The sequence below is a fragment of the Homo sapiens genome, chromosome 3 (genome assembly GCF_000001405.40).
Source record: "Homo sapiens chromosome 3, GRCh38.p14 Primary Assembly".
Lineage (NCBI taxonomy): Eukaryota > Metazoa > Chordata > Mammalia > Primates > Hominidae > Homo > Homo sapiens.
In genome coordinates, this window is record NC_000003.12 from 83,226,983 (window position 1) to 83,247,976 (window position 20,994).

The window sequence follows — 20,994 nt, forward strand, 5'->3', positions numbered from 1 at the left end:
GGTCACTTTTAATTAACATCACAGAAAAATAGTAACAGAAAACATCTCATTCAATAGGAATGACTCAAGAAATCTTTCCAATATTTTATTTGGATTGTAGGCGGAGAGAATTAAACATCTTTATCCAGGTCTTTATACAAATGAACAAACATAACTGCACAAGCTATCATCTTTCCCCACTTGTTAGAAATTATACAAATTTAAAATGGTTGGGTAAGAAAACACAAATAATATATTCAGCACAGCAAGTTGACAAATATAATTTAGATTTCATATTTCAGGTAGCTTTGGCAAAACCAAATTGGACAGAATTACTTTTGAACTGAAATTGTGCAGAAGCTATGGAGAAAGATGAGAGAAAAAAAAGCCAATATCAAGAAAGATCAGCCATAAACGTTCCCAGAAAGGAACAACCAAAATACTTGTGAAAAGGAGCAAGGACTATCATGAAGTACAAAACTAGCTTTCATCTGCAAAAACACTTTCTGGAACAAAGGTTGAGAAGGTTGATGATTGAAGTCCTCTGGAATCATTTTCAATCAAAGAAGCAGAGGTAGCTAAGTCTACACAAACAAACCAACAGGAAAACACTGTTTGCAGAAGCAAGTCTATCTCTGTTAAAGTATAGATGGAGAATATCTAAAGTTCAACCATGTCTCCTCACTCCAAAGATCCTTCTAAAAATACTTGACCATGAACTCTCACTCCATTTGAAGGGCACAAAAATAACACAGAACTGGTAGAAAATTAATAATAAGGATAATAAATCATGTTGAAAATAAAGGCAAATTTAAAAACTGGTGAAAATATTTATCAGAAAAATATTTGCACAGGTTTAGTAAGAAATCGTGCCTCACATACTGAATGAGGTTTTACTTCTATGTAGGAAGGACACATGGTGGAAATCGAAGAGTACAGGAAGAAATACAAAAAAAATAAAACGAGATGTGTCGTTAACTGGAAGATTCAGGAACGTAGTAGGAAAAAAATCATGAAAATAAAGACAATTTTAGAAAGTCATTGGGGGAAATTAGCAACGGTAGAAAACAAAGCATGTAGCAGGAGCAAGGATAGAACAAGTAATACAAGCAAAATGAAATGGAAGCTAAAAAGGAGTTAATAAAATTCAAGATCCAAAAGAAGAATATCAAATCAAAGAAAATATTTGAAGATGTAATGCAAAAACCTTTCTAGAACCTACGAGGCTGAAATGCTGATGATAGTAAATATCTGATTTATGATTAAGTAAAATGAAAGAAGGATTAAGATTTATCTAAACTGTGAAATATTTTTACAAAATTAATAGGATTTAAATACAAAGAAAAAAATGGGGGAAAGGAAAACCATCATGCAAAACATTGAGCTTCAGAATACTGGAAACGCTGTCATAAAATTTCAAGGAAATAAAATCTACTGGACAATATTTTACACAGTCATATTAAACTTTAATTATTAAAAGTTATATAAAAGAGTTTTTAAAAAGAAAAACTCAGAAAATAATGTCTGTGGGCCCTTTTATAGAAATTACTAAAAGATAAACTTTAACAAAATTAGAAGCTTTGAGAAAATTATAATAAATGATTGATATACAATATTGAATGTATAACCATAGAATTAAGAAAAAAAAACAACAAATGTGAGGTGTAGAATGCAAGAAGACAGCCTAAATATTTCAGACCTACAATATAAAAATAATACCCATAAGAAAAACAGTAGCTTACACTTTAATGAAGTTTAAAGATTAAAAAAATGCTGATTATATACTTCTATATAATAGACGTCTACAGGAATATTCTTTTTAGCTAAAAAAAATCTAGCAAAAATTTTGATAGTATAAATGAATTGAAAAATTAATAGAGTTAACTATTCTTATTTGATAGAGGATTTAGCTGTGAGAAGAAGAGGAACACATTACTGTTTTTTTCCATTTTCTCTTTGGTTGTCTTACTTTTGTGAAGAAAATAATAGATATTATATAAATAAATAGATTAGTAAGGATATTTATATATAAAGTAATTTTTATAAAAGATAAATAGTAGAAAATGGAAATTTTTCTAATATGAAACAACTATACACAAAATTTTAAAGAAAATTTGTCACACTGAAGTTTTTTTAATATTAAAATAGGAAAAATATAATGTTAAATAAATTGAAAAATAAAATCCAAACATATCACATAACTATATTAGTCATGCATGAATCACATAAAACAGCAAAAATTAACAACAAAAGAAGATACGGAAATACAATAAGAATACAATATCTTTTTATTATCACCTTTACTGAGATATAACTGACATGCTATTCAATTGACCTATTTAGAATGTACAGTTTCAGGCAGGCACAGTGGGTCACTTCTGTAATCCCAGTGACGAAGGCTGAGATTGGAGGATTGCTTCAGGCCAGGAGTTTAAGACCAGCTTTAGCTGCTCTCTCTATATGAACATGATCATTATATATTCAATACCACATGCCATGATAAATTGCAAATGTGTTGAAAGATTTAAATTTAAAAACAAAACTATCCAAAAATACGTAAAAGATTGGGACGTTTCTTTGAAGAAATGAATAAAGAAAATAATTTTTAATTATTATTTAAATACAAAATTGAATATAATGTAATAACAGATTGGTGAATTGACTTGTTAAAAAGAAACTTCCTATATTAAAACATATATGCATGCAAGTACACACACATTCACAGTTACACATGCCCCTTAATCAGTCAGAATATAAAAGACAAACCAGGAAATTAATATTGTATCTCCCACTTCAGATTAAGAGCCATACTTCCAAATATGTAAAGAATCCCCAAAACCAAAACTCAACAAAAAATGAGAATGTATATAAACAATTTATTTAAAAGGAAAAATAAATCATATATAAACAAAGAATTTATTTAAAAGGAAAAATAAATCAAATATGATCATTTAAATGCATGAAAAGATGCTTAACCTCACTCATAAAAAAGCACATTTTCATCTGTCTGGTTGGTAAGTGTGAGTACCTTTGTAAACACTTTCTCTTGCAAAGCTGTGGAGAAGGAGCAACTCTCAGTTTTGCTCATAGATGTTATAATCTAGTGCAAATCCTATGGGAAGCATTGTAGCAATATTTCATATAAACTTTGACCTACCAACTCCACTCTGGGTCTTTATTCAAATGGCATATTTGCAGATATATAGAGAAATATGTTTATAGTAGTATTTTACATTAGTGATTTTAAAGCTAATGATTATAGATAGTCTAAATATTAATTAAGATTTAAACAATACCTCCATATACAAATACGATGCAGCTGAGGAAGATTTTTATACTGTTATGGAATGCTCTCTAAGATGCATCTTTACAGTAAAAATGTATAGGGTAGAACAGTGTGCATGGTAATTTTTTTAATGGAAGGAAAGTAGAAAAATATGTCTGCATTTATTTAAACATGCATGAAAACTGTGCAGGGTAGAACAGTGTGCATGGTAACTTTTTTAATAGAAGGAAAGTAGAAAAATATGTTTGCATTTAATTAAACATGCATGAAAACTGCTGATACACTAGAAATGTAAAAGTATTTTCTCATGCATGGTAGCATGGCAATAGCAATCAGGATCGGGAGGCATATTTTTATTATATCTTTTTATGTTCTCAGATTTCTAAGCTTTAGGAATATATTGCCTACTTAAAAAACTAAAGTATGTTCATGGTTCAAATTGGAGTAATCTGTATCTGTATATCATCCTCCAGTCTGCTGCTGTTCTTTGCTCCCAGGAAGGACACAATTATCTTTTTATTTCCCAAGGCTCTACTAAGAAAGACAAATACAAGTGTTAAAAGAAAAATATTACAACAAATTTAGTTTAAAAATCTAATTGGCTTTTATTTGTGATTCTAGAATTTGGCAGCATTTCATTCTATAAAATATTATGAGTGCTCCCTTGGGCTTGGCAAAACAGGTGGCTTTTGCAAGGTGAAAATGAGAAAACGTAATTTTTTTTAAGAGTCAGGTTGATGAACAGTCAGTTGCTTTTGTTGTAGGAGTTAAAGTAGAGGGGACTTCTTTGCTACAGTGAGTCAGGTTGACTGGGCCCTTTCCAATTGGTCGAGGTGGATTTCCTGTTTTCAGAAAAAAAAACAAAAAACAAAAAACTGGTCTGTTTGTAAATTTACCTGCCTCTTTAAAGTTTCAGTTTGATTATGAGGCACCTAGCATAAGGGATTCTATTTTAGTTTGGTCTGTTGGGGCGTAGTACTGGAGTTCAGTCCAAATCAATGGTCTCCCATGCATTTTATTTAACGTAAGTAAGGATTTTGTTTAACTAAAGGTTTAATAGATATGGGAGGAGATAAGGAAGATAGAGGACATTGGTCATGGTGAGGAAGAGGTACAGTGTGCCTTAAAAGGAGGTAAAAGTGGCATATATATTTAAAAAATAGAAAAGTAGTATTAGATTCTTAAAATTAGACTATTAGATTAAACAACCTTAGTATTCGTTTTGGTTTTCTTTAACAGCTTGTACTTTCTGTTTCTTTCTTGTGTTGCAGGACTGATTCCTTATCCAACATCACTTTCTGGACTACCTAGAATCCAACTATCATGTGTAAGTCTGATAATCTTGTGCCCACCAAAAATACCTTTTTACGTTTTTATGCAAAGCAGCCCAGGTCCCTTTTATCTTAAACGTTTTATTACAGACAATGCCTTTCCTTTAATAACCAAAAGGTGATTAATGCATTGTACTAAACAAAAGACTAATTTACCTTTAGTCTCTACCTGTAGAAACAGAAAAAAAAACTGACAAAAGCTTGGAAATAACAGGTTTCCTGTAATTTCTTCCAACACATTGTTTTAGTGCTATGGATTTATTTAGATGACTTACCATATTATACTTTAATAATCTCCTGCCTAGCTTTTCCTTTTTAAAAACATTTTAAAAGAAATTCTAGCCAATGAAATATGCATACTTTCTGAACTTTTGTTAAAATTTTCTTTTATGATGTTAACACAGGGGAAGCAATTTCCTCATTTTACAAGCAACGATAGTTCAGATGCTTTCTGCTAATGTTAATGTATTGTTAATGCATACTTATTATATATCCACAATATGGCCTATTTACTAATTGCATTACCTGGCAGAAGCTATTTAATATTTCAGTTTCTGTCTTCTTCACCACAAAATGAAGAAAATAATTCAACAGTTGTTATGGGGAGTAAATGTTACCTTACTTGTTCTGACAGCTTTCACCAAGATGTCATCTTGTGGGCTAGTCCGTTGGACCTACTTGACCAATCAGACACTATCCTAATCTCCATAATGTGATACCTCCTGAGAGGCAGCCATTTGACACAGACACTTTTCTCAGTTTGCTCAGGCTCCAACGCCATGATCTGCTATGCAACTCTCTCCACAGTCTCCATCATGGATACCTGCCTTTTATTCCAACACCTAATGTTTTAGTATTAAATCATTCCATATGATAAGAGTAGAGAGGTGAAAGAGGAAGACTCATTCAACGGAAGTTGATCTGCTGTGTTTTCACAATTATTCCATACATAACATTTTCTAATATCTTTGTTACTTCTTTTTTTGACTCAGTTACATAGAAATATTTTTCTTAATTTCCAAATATATGAGTATATTCCTTATAATTTTGCTATTGATCTTTAATCTCATTCCATTGATTTTAAAGATTGTTCTCTTTAAGACTGCAATACATTGAATTTGTTAGGCCTTTCTATTGCCTATCATATGGTCACATTTGGTGAATTTTCAATGTGCTCTTGAGGGAAAAAAAAAGTGTATTCTAGAGTTGATTCGTTTAATGCAGTATAAATAATATTATGTTATGTTATTTTAATTTTTCTGAATACTTAGTGATTTTTAAAAAACCATCCATACCGATTTCCAAGAAGGAGTATTAAAACCTCCACTAGTAATTGTGGATGTGCCTATATCTGTTTTTAGTTGTCTCCAATTTTGAATTTTTTATCTTTAGTATGGAAAAATAAGCATTTTTATTTCTTGTAAAAATTAATTATTTATTATAAAATATCCGTTTTTATTAATGGCAAATATCTTTGTCTTGATGCCTACTTTATCTGATATTCAAAAAAACCAGCCTGGCTTCTTTATGCTTACTATTTCAAAATATATCTTTTCTACCCTTTTACTTTCATTCTCCCAGTGTCTTCATATTTAAAGAAATTAAAAAATAGGAAATGTATATGTATATACATATAATACATATTTCCACTTATAGTGAACATTTGTTAACATTTTCAGTGCTTTGTTTCATTATTGTGTTTGTTTCTGTTGACTATATTTTTCTTTTGGTTATATGTCTCATTTATCTTCTTTTTTCCGTATCTCAATTTTGTTTGTCTATGCTGGCATTGGAGGTTCTAAATTGTTGAGAGTCTGGATTTAATTTTATTTCTTTAGAGAGTTTTGAAATTTGTTCTAGAAGACAATTAATTTAGTGGTGAATTAGCTCTGTCTTGTGAAGGCTTATGTTTAGCTCTGACACTGCTGGTCTAAAGCACTGCACTTAAAACGAGACCTTCCTGGGACCACAATTGATTGTCTAGATAATGAGTGAGGTTGTTGTTCTCTAGCTGATTTTAGGTATAATGTCTCTGATCACCGTGAGACTCTAGAGTTTTTACATACCTCACAACCTTTTAGTAGGCTGTTCGCCGAGCTGATATCTGTTATCTCCCATACTTTATGGAGTTTCACATTGAATATTTTCAATTTAATAATGGACCAAAGAGTCAAAAAGACCTATTCAAACTTTTGGAGCTTCTTTTTTTCATAGTTATCTCATCTCTGGTACTCTGCCCTGCAAATTCCAGCTACATCAGCAAACCAGAATGCAGCTCTCTTTTATGTTGTTCTGTTTTAAACGTATTTCTCTGTACTGAAGTTTAGAAAACGACTCCATGTGGACAACCAGGGTAATTGTGGCACTCACCTAAAACGTTTCTCTTATTTCAACGATAGTGCTTTTATGATCTTTGTTGTGTAATGTACAAAAAAAAAGTTTAATGTCATCTACCATGTTTTATAAATGTATGCGATGTGAGAGTGAGGACGACACCCTCTACTCTGTCCTTGCTGGAATTGGAAGTCAACCATTAAGTCTTAATTAAGCCTTTCTCTTCAGCTTTCTTGTCTTCCCTCCTTATATTATCTCTCTATGCGATGTCATTCTTCAATAAATCACATCTCAATCTAACTTCAGTCTTAATTAGAGCCTTGAGTTATCGAACCCTATATCTAGGTTTTTACTGAAAATTTCCACTTGCATTGTCTACTAGAAAATCAAACATAACATGTTGATTCCAAAATTATTGCCTTTTCCACTGATTTCATTGTCCTACTTCAGTTCATTTTATTATTGACTTCTCCTTCAATCCAACTAAAATCTCTGAGATCAAAATATAATCCATCTCTCATAGTCCCTGATGACAACACATTTTCAAGTATTATTAATTTTTTTCTTTGTGATATATTTCACATCTGCTATTATAGTTGTTAGGAGACTTTAATTATATGTAACAAACACACTGACACTAATGTGGTGGAAATTTCCTCAAAGTTATATGTTGTTTAATGTAATAAAATACAAGGAATGCATTCATAGTTAGAAAATGGGGTAAAATATTGAAGGAGAATGTAGTCCAAACCCTTTACTTTCACATGCACATACACAGACACACACAAACACACACACATGCACAGACACATAAATATATGTACACACATACATATTTACTCTTCTTTGATTATCTGCTTCATTTCTTTTACTGCACGTGATCTTTCTTTACTCCACTCTTCAAGTGGAATAAAATGGCCATCCAGAAAACCAAAGTTTACACAGCAACATTAAAAGGACAGAATTATAAACAAATGTGTTAGCCCAAGTCTAAGTTCATAAGAAAGAATGCCATTAACCTAGATTATATAGTATTATCTCTACAGGTAAAGGTCTGGAAGAATGCCAATATTGCTCGGATTGGCTACCAAAAGTCATCTTTGTACATGCATAGCAGTGTTGGGTAGGATATTATATTGTAATAGGCAGAAAATTAATAGGTATTTATGACTTTTTACCTCCTAAATGCTCACAATATACGTATAAACGTTTTCCATATTGTCAAATAAATCTTCAACCAATTTTCTCATATAGAAGAAACTTCCATTTTAAAACTTCTTGCAATCTATCAAGTGTTATAGTTCCTGAGATCAAAACTGATTAAAAAAAAAACAAAGCTGAAGTTGAGTAAATTTTCGAATGAAACGCCAGACATTCATTACAGGCATACTGTGGCAATAGTGTCAATATTGTAGTTTCAGTGCCAGACCACTGCAGTAAAGCGAATATGGAAATAAAATGAGTCAGACAAATATTTTTTATTTCCCAGTGCATATGAAAGTCATGTTTACACTATACTGTGGTTTATTAAGTGTGCAGTAACATGATATCTTAAAAAGTGTACATTTTAATAAAAAATACTTCATTGGTAAAAGATGCTGACATAGGGACACAAAATGAGCCCAAGCTGTGTAAAAATAATGCCAATATACTTGTTCAATGCAGGATTGCCATAAACCTTCAATTTGTAAAAAGCACAATGTCAGCAAAATGCAATAACGTGAACCACTGTAGAGTGAGGTATGCCTATGTTTGTGACTTTGGGGGAAGTATTTAATATTGCTAAGGTTAACATTTCTTCAATGTCTGGTTAATATAGTACTTATCTCACAAGCTTGTTATGAGAGTATACAATGAAGAAAGTGCTGAATACAATACCTGTTATATGGTGTGATTCAAAAAACCTCAGCTCTATTATACCTATTTCCTGAACTGGATTTTAAACATTTAGAAGTTAGGGAATAATTTAAACTTTTAATGTTTCCTTACTTTTTTACATTGCCATTGCTTATTATCCTGATTTCAAAATGAATTACTGGTTTGAAAACAAAATTTTCTGGAGAAAATGTCTTTGACATCCTCCTGATACCAAACTCTATAGCCATTTTTATGCCCTATTATCCTGGTATTTCTTCAGCCTTTGTACTGAAAAAGACTACCACAATTTAAAAAAATTCCTCTCTTATTTTCTGTATACCCAGATTTCCAGTTTTCCTCTGAATTTTACTTCTCTGCTTCTGTTGCTCCTATTCTTGTTTTGAAACATTAAATATTGGGGGGAAGAACCACTTCAGGTTATGGTTCACGGTCCTCATTTCTCTTAGTCATCTACTCAACCATATCATCCAAACCCCAGGTTTATATATTAACTATATGCAGATTAATTTCAGATCCTCAGCTCTAGATTCTCTCCTAAGCTCTAGACTTTCAACTTCTATTACCTCCCAGAAATTGCTTTCCAAATACTTTGCTAGTTCCACAAACCCAATTTTATGAGACAATTTCAGCCTTCTCTAATATTTTGTCTCAACCCTTATGTCTTTCAGCTTTTAGATTTTTATAAATACCACCATCATTCTATCAGCTATATAGGATTGAACTCTAGCAATATTGTTAACTTGGGGATAGAACTAAACATTTGCAAAAAAATAAAAGTGAATTAGAGAGAGGGATGCACCAAAATAAAAACAGATACATAAAAAATTTATTACTTTGAAAATTAGACTTTTAATAATTTATTAATACATTGAACATATGTTTAGTGAAAAAGCACTAAATGGTAACATTGAGGATATACATCAGGCATATTCCAACATAATGAAAATTAACCATAAAGCTTAGGAGAAACAAGCAAACAGGAAATTACAAAGCATATTGTTAAGTGCAAAGAAAATGCTCTAGGAACATGTATGATGGACACTTCACGCAGTCTTGGAAACTTGGGCAATGCTTGCCAGATAACCTAAGATATGAAAAGAACCATGCATTAGGTTGAAAAGAGGAAAAAGATGCTCCTGGCAGAAGCAACAATATGATAAGAAAAAAAGGTTCACTAAAGTATACTAAATTGTGTCTTAGTATCAGAGACAGTTCAATAAGATTGGTTCATCTTTCTCAAAGGAGAGTGAGATATGGCAAGAGAGCTCACACAGAGTATTCACCTTTTATCATATCTCTATAGTCCCTATTATATGCATTAAATTTATCTATGATCTCATTATAATGTCACTCTATATAAATCATAATTGATAAAATATTATATTCCTGGTTCCATACATTGATAAGTGTTTTCAAAAATCTGAAGGAGATACAGTCTGGTAAAAATATAAGTGACCATGTAACATTTAGAAAAGTAAGTCTGCATAATTTTCTAAATCTCTTTTGAACTCTGCATCTTTTTATAATACAATTACTTGATGAAAGGAAGGTGGCATTTTAAGCTCCTTTTCATAATTCTATGCAACATTACAGCAAAGGTCTGTGCAGAAGATCAAAAGTGATCTTCAATGTAGGAAACTATTTTGTCATGCTAGAAAGCTTGTTTGTAGTTGTCGTGAAATGCCAATAGTGACTTAGAATGCTATTTCATGCTCAGCAATTTTAAAGAAAATATTAAATTTGTCCCAGTTAAAAAATTGGCCTTTAGCCAAAAGTTACAGCTAGTTCAAAATAAGGAAAAGGTATTCTTGCAAACATTTTTGTGCTGTATTTCAAGGCAGGCATTATTGTGTTAGGACATATTAATTGATCAGATAGAATGAGAGGATGGTGCTTTACCCACAGCTACAAAGGGAAGAGGAGGGAGAGAGAGGGAGAGAAGGGAAAAGATTTTTTTTTGGCATAATATTGTGTCAACAACAGCCTTGGATGTCCCTCAGATTATTCCTGGACATTGTTTACACATGTTGATCATCTGTACCAAGATAAAATAATGATGCTGAAATTATTGTCTAAATGGTAAAGGAAACCACAGCTAATGCAAGATAATGTGTTGCTACAAAAAGCAATTTATTTACCAACTTATTTAGAACATTTTCTAGAAGCATGGTTACAAACAATCCATGAAAGTAACACATAATGATGTTTTAGTGGAAGCACATGCTTATTAAAACGCTAACTCTGCTTCTCTCCAAGCCTTGAAGCATTTTGCATATTTGGTTGGCTATTACATTTAATTGTGAAACTATAGTTTTCCAATTGTGAAACTATAGTTTTAATTACTTAGAAATATAATTGAGAATCATCAAAAAGTCCAGTCTAAACATGAAAATGCATTTATACCACTAAAATTATGATTCTGTATTTTAATTAACATAAATAATATAACTTTCTAAGTTATATTGATACATTTCAAGTTCTTATGAGATTAACTTCTTAGTTTTTATTGTGTACGATTGCGTAAAGGTAACTTAAAGTGTGATGCCATTTGGTTAACCTAAACAAGAGTAGGATGGCTGAAAGGAATATTATGGATTCAGAGTACCCTTTCAGAGGCTTATCTTTGCATTTAAAATGATATAATTTTGTTTAGCACAATGAACTCTTAAGAAAAAAAATACTTTAAAAATAAAAATTGCTCTATGTCACTAATTTTACTCGAGCATTGTAAATCTAATAAATTTCTATATATAATGATTAATGTTGTTCACCTCTCTATGTGCAGATATACTTGCAAAGTGAAACTTATTTTAGTCATGACTTTAAATTTTATGCAAATAAAAAACAAATTAATTTATCCACAATACTTTAATTAAATGGGTTAAAACAATCTTATTATTGATTACTTATAAGTACCCTGCACACACTGTATGCAATTCTTCAAACTGTGTTCTAAAGCACACACTTGCATAGGATGGGTGAGAATTGATATTCTAAGTCTTGTGTATTAGTTTAAATAGTAAACCTAAATATAATATGTTTTATCTTAAATATGAGTTAAATTAATATTTAAAAACAGGATACAGTTGAGAATAACAATTTGTTAAACTGATTAGCTAGGCTGAAAAATCTAGAAAAAATGAGAATTATTCAACTTGATCACATTATATCTGAATAACTTCTCATTTTCTCTTAAACTGTTACATTTGCTGTTTTATGAACTATAATATGGAATATCTTATTTACATATTTCTATTACTGACATGTAAAAATGATATTCCTCTTAAGTGGTCAAAGTTGCAAGGACAAATACTGAAATACGATTTTGCATTAGAATATGTAATCGGTTCCTTTAGGATAATCTTGATTCTAGTTGTTGCACGCAGTTGAAAAGGTTTGTTGCATTCGTTGTTGAAAGGTTAAAAGTAGTATTGCTAGGTAAAGCTATGCTTAATTTATCATGTACTCAAGGGGCTCTTTTAGGCTGACGTACTGCTTAGATATGATCTTGTTTGACTGTATTTATTTTGCAATTGAAATTAATCCTTTTGTATTGAATGACTTTTATGATAGAAGAATGAGGGAATCAAGACCTTTTTGGAACATTTGGGTATATACGTGTGTATATATCCATGCATACATAAATATGATGAAACGTTCTATTTGTTTTACTGTATCAGAGATCATTTTATCCACCAGATTTCTAATTTCTTTAACATATTTGACTCATGGCTTTTAAATACCTAAACTAACATTAAGTGTGGAATTTATGCACAGAAAAATGTTAAGATGTGGGTGACTAAATTATCAACTGAACCAAAAAGAATAACAAAAATAAGCCAGCAAAATATCATTTATTGCGGATTTGAGATCAAATCTGCAAATCAATACATTTAGGTAAAGTGAATCAAATAATTGAGGTTTACTACAAAGGACAGGATTGTTTTCTACCACAGATACTAAACCATTATATTATAAAGGCTAGTAAATGTGTTTCCTCCTTGGGACTCCAAATTGCACATAGTGACCCTTTGAGAGTAAGTACTCCAAATTGCACAAAGTGACCCTTTGAGTAAGTACTCAGAACATAATGACATAATTAAAGACTTTCTATAATTTTCCATTCGCTTGACATTAGAATTAGTATGTTCTTTTTTAAAGGTACACATGCACACATACAAAGAGATGCTACTACCAATTGAACAGTTATTTATGCCAAAACTAAGTAATGAAATAAAATGCATCTATATTTTTCAGAAGGAAAGAAGATTCAAGAGAATTGCATTGTCCTTCAATGCTGTTTTTTTTTTTTTTTTTTTTTTTTGAGAGGGAGTCTCGCTCTGTCGCCCAGGCGTGATCTCGGCTCACTGCAAGCTCCGCCTCCCGGTTTCCCGCCATTCTCCTGCCTCAGCCTCCAGAGTAGCTGGGACTACAGGCGCCCGCCACCACGCCTGGCTAATTTTTTGTGTTTTTAGTAGAGACGGGTTTTCACCGTGTTAGCCAGGATGGTCTCGATCTCCTGACCTTGTGATCCGCCCACCTCGGCCTCCCAAAGTGCTGGGATTACAGGCGTGAGCCACCGCGCCCGGTCTCAATGCTGTTTTAAAAATGTACTTTGCTCCTCTGGATATAGTGTTTGGAGTCGTGTCTTTTATACCTGTGGGTCGCTGCAGCTCCCAAAGACAACACCTAGAACCAGAGGTTCAGTCACAAACACCTTACACAAGAGCTTGTTGCTGATACTACATCTTCTTACTATTTGCATCATGAGTTCCTTTCTCAAGTAAATTCTTCTCAATGGCATTCAAACATTTTCTCATCTTTAATAAGATGATGCTATTCAAACCAATTGTCTATATTGATGTCTCCACTTTCTCATTTCCCATTCTTCTTTTTTTCTGTATTTATATATTGTTGTGATTACTAAGACTATACACAAATTCTTGAAAAATCATATAATGTACATGCCTTTCTTCAGACTACTGTCTACAGACTACAAAGTAACACAATGTAAATAATATATTTGCTTCCCATCTTTTTCATTATGAAAACAAACTACAAATAAAGTTGAAATTTCATGCGGGTTTCTTTCCCAGTTCTAGTACCCGTGTAGTTCTCCAAAAACAACTACCATCATAAATCAGCCATATAACCAGGAAATATATATATGTTTATATGTGGGCGTGTGTATGCACTCACACGTATACACCTATATATGCATACACATACACATGTATGCATGCACACATGCCTGCCCATGTACCCACACACAGAGACGCATTTTAAAGATGAGGAAACTTGAACAATTAGAAACAGAGTGTTTACAAAGCTTCCTGAAGGTCACAGAACTAGTTATTGATGGTATCAATATTCAAATACCATCTCACTCAGGAGTTCATGCACTTAACCAATACTTCATGTTAAATTAATATTTGAAACTACTTCTTGTGCATCTCTTTAATAAAACTCATTAGATGCATGCCATATACCATCAACTTTACTGGAAAATGACAAATATCTTCACTAAGAGATTGTACTAATTAATATTTGAGAGAGCAATTATATACAAATTTCTCTTTTCCTACCACATTGTTGCACTCAGAATGTAGATTTTAGATTTTAACCAATCCAAATGTGCGAAATAATTTTTGTTTTAATTGGACTTTCTTCAATAATTAGAGGTTGACACCTTGTAATATTTTCAATTTCCTCTTCTCTGAATTGCATATGTATTACCTTTGATAATTATTTGTTTCTAGTTTTTTCTAATTTGTAGAAATTTCTTTTTATATGCTCTTAATTTTATTCCTCTATTTTATATGCTGAAAATATCTCCATTCACTTTGTACCTTTTCTTCGAAAATAGACTTTATGTTTCCTTTGTCATAGTATGTTCTATGATTAAATTTAATAAAATTACTATTTTATTTTATGAATTCTGTCTTTTTATTGTATAAAAGAACACTGATAAGTTCTCCAATTGCTTTTTAGTTTTTAACTTCACTATTTTTCCTTACTTCATTAGCAAGTTATTTAATTGTAAATTGTAAGAAAGGTATCAATTTCTCTATCCTTTTCAATTTATCAAATATTTATATATAGTTAGGTCCTAGAATAGATACATAGATTATAAAACAGAATGAATGTAGAGTTCACAATCTGGTCTAATAATATGTAGTAACTGGAAATTGAGGAGGAAGAAGGAGTAGTAATTACATTGTTGGCTACAGATCAAGGAATTCATCAACCTTTAATTTTCTAAGTTATATTACCATGCATTGATTTTGAATTTTATTTTTTTCTACAACCATTTAAATAAACAGGTGTTTTATTTATTTTCCTTAAATAGGTTAATACAGACAGAGTTTTCATATTGGGTGTCTTTGTTTACCTGAATTAAGCTATTCTTGGTTATTATGTTTTAAACATCTTACTGCAGAGCTCAATTTATTTGTTAACATGTTATTTCAGGAGATTTTAAAATATTTTAAGTGAAATTAATGTACCTATTTCTTATAATGTACTATGTTATTTTGCTTTTAAGATTTTAATACCGTGTACTGAGTTGAATGGCTTTTTCTCCTTTTCTATTTTCTGAAATAGTTTGTAGAAAATATGAATTATTTGCATATTCAGGTGCAATCAACTTACCTGCAATATTATTTGGACCAATATTTCTTAGGGGAAAGACTTTTTAAAACTGTGATTTATTGTATTCAGTGTTCTTAATATTCGTTGGTTTTCCTCTTTCCACTTTGATTTTTTCCTCTAAAATTCACAAGTTTTCATCTATGTTTTGAAGTATGTTTGCAATACTTTCTATTTTTAATTTAACAAATAGTTATTTAGAGTCTCATATGTGTCTAGCATTCACCTATATGTTTAGAGACTTTATGAACTTATGGCCTCCTTTTTACTTATATTGTTATTAATGTCTCTCTCTACCTCTCAGTCAACCAATCTTGCTTTAATTTTGCTTACTAGTAAATGTTTATATGAATACACATTTGATGTTCTTTACCATATGATGAATAAGATAAATAACACACACAGCATGTCTCCAAAAATCAAGCTTTTTATTTAGGAAAGCAATTTAGAGTAATAGATAAGTAGGTAACTAGATAGGTAGACTTATCAATCAATCAACCAATATATAGATGATAGATAATATTAAAAAATCAGCAGGAGTAGTTTAGAAAATGATTCCTGGAGATGAAGAAATATAGGATAAGTTAACAACATAGAAAGGATTCCTATACTATAAAACTTTAATGACCTAGAGGAAACAAGCAAATTGATGCAAAAGAGATTTAGAGATTTAGAGAAACGTTTTATTTAAAGGAAAAGAGAAAAAGTGGTGCTGATTTCTGTGTATTCAACTTGTTTTTTTTTTTTCAGATTCCTTATGTAAGTGAAATCATGTAGTGTTTTTCTTTCTGTGTCTGACTGATTTCACTTTTCATAATGTCTTGAATAGAATGGTGGTTCTCAGAGTTGGGGACAGGAGAGGAAATGAGATGTAGGTCAAAAGGTACAATCTTGTAGTTAGGTAGAATTAAGTAAGTGTAGCAATCTAATGCATAGCAGAAAGACTACAGTTGTATTGTATACTGAAAAATTTCTGAGAGTCAATTTTTAAGTGGATTTACCACACACATAAAAAACAAGTAACTATGGAAGGTGATGAATATGTTAAATTGCTTACTTACTGTCATTATTTCACTATCCATATATGTGTGTATATATATATACAAACACATATACATATATATATTACAACACATCATGTTGTACACCTTAAATTTATACAATAATAAAAGAGTTTCTGCTAAAAATGACAGTATATTTTCTAAATATTCCATGATTATCTAATGGTATGGAGGAATGATCTCAAAATTTTGTTGCAATAGAAAGCTTTGTCATTATAATATATTAATGATACACTGACAGGGGAACAAGCTTAGAATGAAACATAAAAGGACACCGTACTCACAAAAATATTGCAAAGCAAATAAGTTAGCATTTTCCTAAAGTATATATAGATATGTTCTTTATCTTTTTTTTTTAATTGTACTTTAAGTTCTGGGTTACGTATGCAGAATGGGCAGTTTTGTTACAGAGGTGTACAAGTGCCCTGGTGGTTTGCTGCACCCATCAACCCATCATCTACATTTGACATTTCTCCTAATGTGATCCCTCCTCTAGGCCCTACCTCCCGACAGGCCCCAGTGTGATGTTCCCCTCCTTGTGTCCATGTGTTCTCATTGTTCAACTCCCACTTATGAGTGAGAACACGTGGTGTTTGGTTTTCTGATCTTGTGACAGTTTGCTGAGCATGATGGTTTCCAGCTTCATCCATGTCCCTGCAAACGACATGCACTCATCCTTATTTATGGCTGCATAGTATTCCATGGTGCATATGTGCCACATTTTCTTTATCCAGTCTATCATTGATGGACATTTGGGTTTGTTCCAAGTCTTTGCAATTGTGAATAATGCCACAATAAACATATGTGTGCATGTGTTTTTATTGTAGAATGATTTATAATCCTTTGGGTATATGCCCAGTAATGGAATTGCTGGGTCATATGGTATTTCTGGTTCTAGGTCCATGAGGAATCACCACTCTGTTTTCCATTATGGCTGAACTAATTTACACTCCTACCAACAGTATAAAAGTGTTCCTATTATTCCACAACCTCTCCAGCATCCATTGTTTCCTGACTTTTTAATGACCACCATTCTAACTGGCATGAGATGGTATCTCATTTTGGTTTTGATTTGCATTTCTCTAATGACTATTGATGATGAGCATTTTTTCATATGTCTTTTGGCTGCATAAATGTCTCCTTCTGAGAAGTGTCTGTTTATATCCTTTGCCCATTTTTTGATGGCGTTGTTTTTTTTCTTGCAAATTTGTTTAAGTTCTTTGTTGATTCTTGACATTAGCCCTTTGTCAGATAGATAGATTGCAAAAATTTTCTCCCATTCTGTAGGTTGCCTGTTCACTCTGATGATAGCTTCTTTTGCTGTGCAGAAGCTCTTTAGCTTAATTAGATCCCATTTGTCAATTTTGGCTTTTGTTGCCATTGCTTTTGATGTTTTAGATGTGAAGTCTTTGCCCATGCCCATGTCCTGAATGGTATTGCCCCAGGTTTTCTAGAATTTTTATGGTCCTAGGTCTTATGTTTAAGTGTTTGATCTGTTCTGTTCCATTGGTCTATATATCTGTTTTGGTACCAGTACCATGCTGTTTTGGTTACTGTAGCCTTGTAGTATAGTTTGAAGTCAAGTAGCATGATGCCTCCAGCTTTGTTCTTCTTGCCCAAGATTGTCTTGGCTATGCGGGCTCTTTTTTGGTTCCATATGAATTTTAAAGTAGTTTTTTTTTTCCAGTTCTGTGAAGAAAGTCACTGGTAGCTTGATGCGGATAGCATTGAATCTATAAATTACTTTGGGCAGTATCGTCATTTTCGTGATATTGATTCTTCCTATTCATGAGCATGGAACGTTCTTCCATTTGTTTGTGTCTTCTCTTATTTCCTTGAGCAGTGGTTTGTAGTTCTCCTTGAAGAGGTCCTTCGCATCCCTCATAAGTTTTATTCCTAGGTATTTTATTCTCTTTGTAGCAATTGTGAATGGGAGTTCATCATGATTTGGCTCTCTGTTTATCTGTTATTGGTGTATAGGAACGCTTGTGATTTTTGCACATTGATTTTGTATCCTGAGACTTTGCTGAAGTTGCTTATCAGCTTAAGGAGATTTCGGGCTGAGAAATGGGGTTTTCAAAATACACTATCATGTCATCTGCAAACAGAGACAATTTGACTTCATCTCTTACTATTTGAATACTCTTTATTGCTTTCTCTTGCCTGATTGCCCTGGCCTGAACTTTGAATACTATGCTGAATAGGAGTGGTGAGAGAGGGCATCCTTGCCTTGTGCCGGTTTTCAAAGGGAATGCTTCCAGTTTTTGCCCATTCAGTATGATATTGGCAGTGGGTTTGTCATAAATAGCTCTTATTATTTTGAGATATGTTCTATTGATATCTAGTTTGTTGAGAGGTTTTAACATGAAGGGGTGTTGAATTTTATCAGAGTTCTTTTCTGCATCTGTTGAGATAATCATGTGGTTTTTATTATTAGTTCTGTTTATATGATGGATTACATTTATTGATTTGTGTATGTTGTACCAGCCTTGCATCCCAGGTATGATCATGGTGGATAAGCTTTTTGATGTGCTGCTGGATTCAGTTTGCCAGTATTTTATTGAGAATTTTCACATCGATGTTCATCAGGGATATTGGTCTGAAATTTTCTTTTTTGTTGTCTCTCTGCCAGATTTTGGTATCAGGATGATGCTGGCCTCATAAAATGAGTTAGGGAGGATTCCCTCTTTTTCTATTGTTTGGAATAGTTTCAGAAGGAATGATATCAGCTCCTCCTTGTACCTCTGGTAGAATTCAGCTGTGAATCTGTCTGGTTCTGGACTTTTTTTGTTGGTATGCTATTAATTACTGCCTCAATTTCAGAACTTGTTATTGGCTTATTCAGAGATTTGACTTCTTCTTGGCTTAGACTTGGGAGCGTGTATGTGTCCAGGAATTTAACCATTTCTTCTAGGTTTTCTAGTTTATTTGCATAGAGGTGTTTACGGTATTCTCTGATGGTAGTTTGTATTTCTGTGGGATCAGTGGTGACATCCCATATATCCTTTTTTATTATGTCTATTTGATTCTTCTCTCTTTTCTTCTTTATTAGTCTGGCTAGTGGTCTATGTATTTTGTTGATTTTTTCAAAAAACAAGCTTCTGGTTTCAATGATTTTTTTAAGGGTTTTTCGTGTCCCTGTCTCCTTCAGTTCTGCTCTGATCTTAGTTATTTGATGTCTTCTGCTAGCTTTTGAATTTGTTTGCTGTTGCTTCTCTAGTTCTTTTAATTTTGATGTTAGGGCATCAATTTTAGATCTTTCCTGCTTTCTCTTGTGGGCATCCAGAGCTATAAGTTTCACTCTTAAACACTGCTTTAAATGTGTCTCATAGATTCTGGTACATTATGTATTTGTTCTCATTGGTTTCAAAGAACATCTTTATTTCTGCCTTCATTTCATTATTTACACAGTAGTCATTCAGGAGCAGGTTGTTCAGTTTCCCTGTGGTTGTGTGGTTTTGAGTGAGTTTCTTAATCCTGAGTTCTAGTTTGATTGCACGTGGTCTGAGAAACCGTTTGTTATGACTTCCGTTCTTTTGCATTTGCTAAGGAGTGTTTTACTTCCAATTATATGGTCAATTTAGAATAAGTGCGATGAGGTGCTGAGAAGAATATATATTCTGTTGATTTGGGGTGGAGAGTTCTGTAGAGGTCTATTAGGTCTTCTCGGTCCAGAGCTGAGTTCAAGTCCTGAATATCCTTGTTAATTTTCTGTCTCGTTGATTTGTCTAATATACAGTGGGTTGTTAAAGTCTCCCACTATTATTGTGTGCAAGTCTAAGTCTCTTTGTAGATCTCTAAGAACTTGCTTTCTAAATCTGGGAGCTCCTGTGTTGGGTGCATATATATTTAGGATAGTTAGCTCTTCTTGGTGCATTGATCCCTTAACCGTTATGTAATGGTCTTCTTTGTCTCTTCTGATCTTTGTTGGTTTAAAGTCTGTTTTATCAGCGATTATGATTGCAGCTCCTGCTTTTTTTTTCTTTCCATTTGCTTGGTAAATATTCCTCCATCCCTTTGTATGTGTGTCTTTGCACGTGAGATAGGTCTCCTGAAGACAGCACACTGATGGACCTTGACTCTTTATCCAATTTGCCAGTCTGTGTCTTTTAATTGGGACATTTAGCCCATTTACATTTAAGATTAACATAGTTATGTGTGGATATGATCCTGTCATTATGATCCTAGCTGGTTGTTTTGCCCCTTAATTAATGCAATTTCTTCACAGTGTCGATGTTCTTTACAATTTGGTATGTTTTCGCAGTGGCTGGTACCAGTTGTTCCTTTCCATGTTTAGTGCTTCCTTCAGGAGCTCTTGTAAGGCACGACTGGGGGTGACAGAATCTCTCAGCATTTGCTTGTCTGTATAGGATTTTATTTCTCCTTCGCTTATGAAGCTTAGTTTGGCTGGATATGAAATTCTGGATTGAAAATTATTTTCTTTAAGAATGTTGAATATTGGCCCCCACTCTCTTCT

General features: G+C 32.5%; 1 long non-coding RNA gene across 2 annotated transcripts in view; it reads left to right on the top strand.

Moving 5' to 3' along the window:
- The window catches only part of LOC101927439 (uncharacterized), a 58,245-nt gene that overhangs the window by 11,103 nt on the left and 26,148 nt on the right, over positions 1–20,994 (top strand). The window contains exons 2-3 of one of the 2 annotated variants that reach the window (XR_427355.3): positions 4,537–4,592; positions 5,231–7,230. This is a non-coding gene — a long non-coding RNA (uncharacterized LOC101927439). Of the gene's footprint in view, positions 1–4,536; positions 4,593–5,230; positions 7,231–20,994 lie in introns of those variants that run through there. The other variant, XR_941002.2, reaches the window with a different exon arrangement.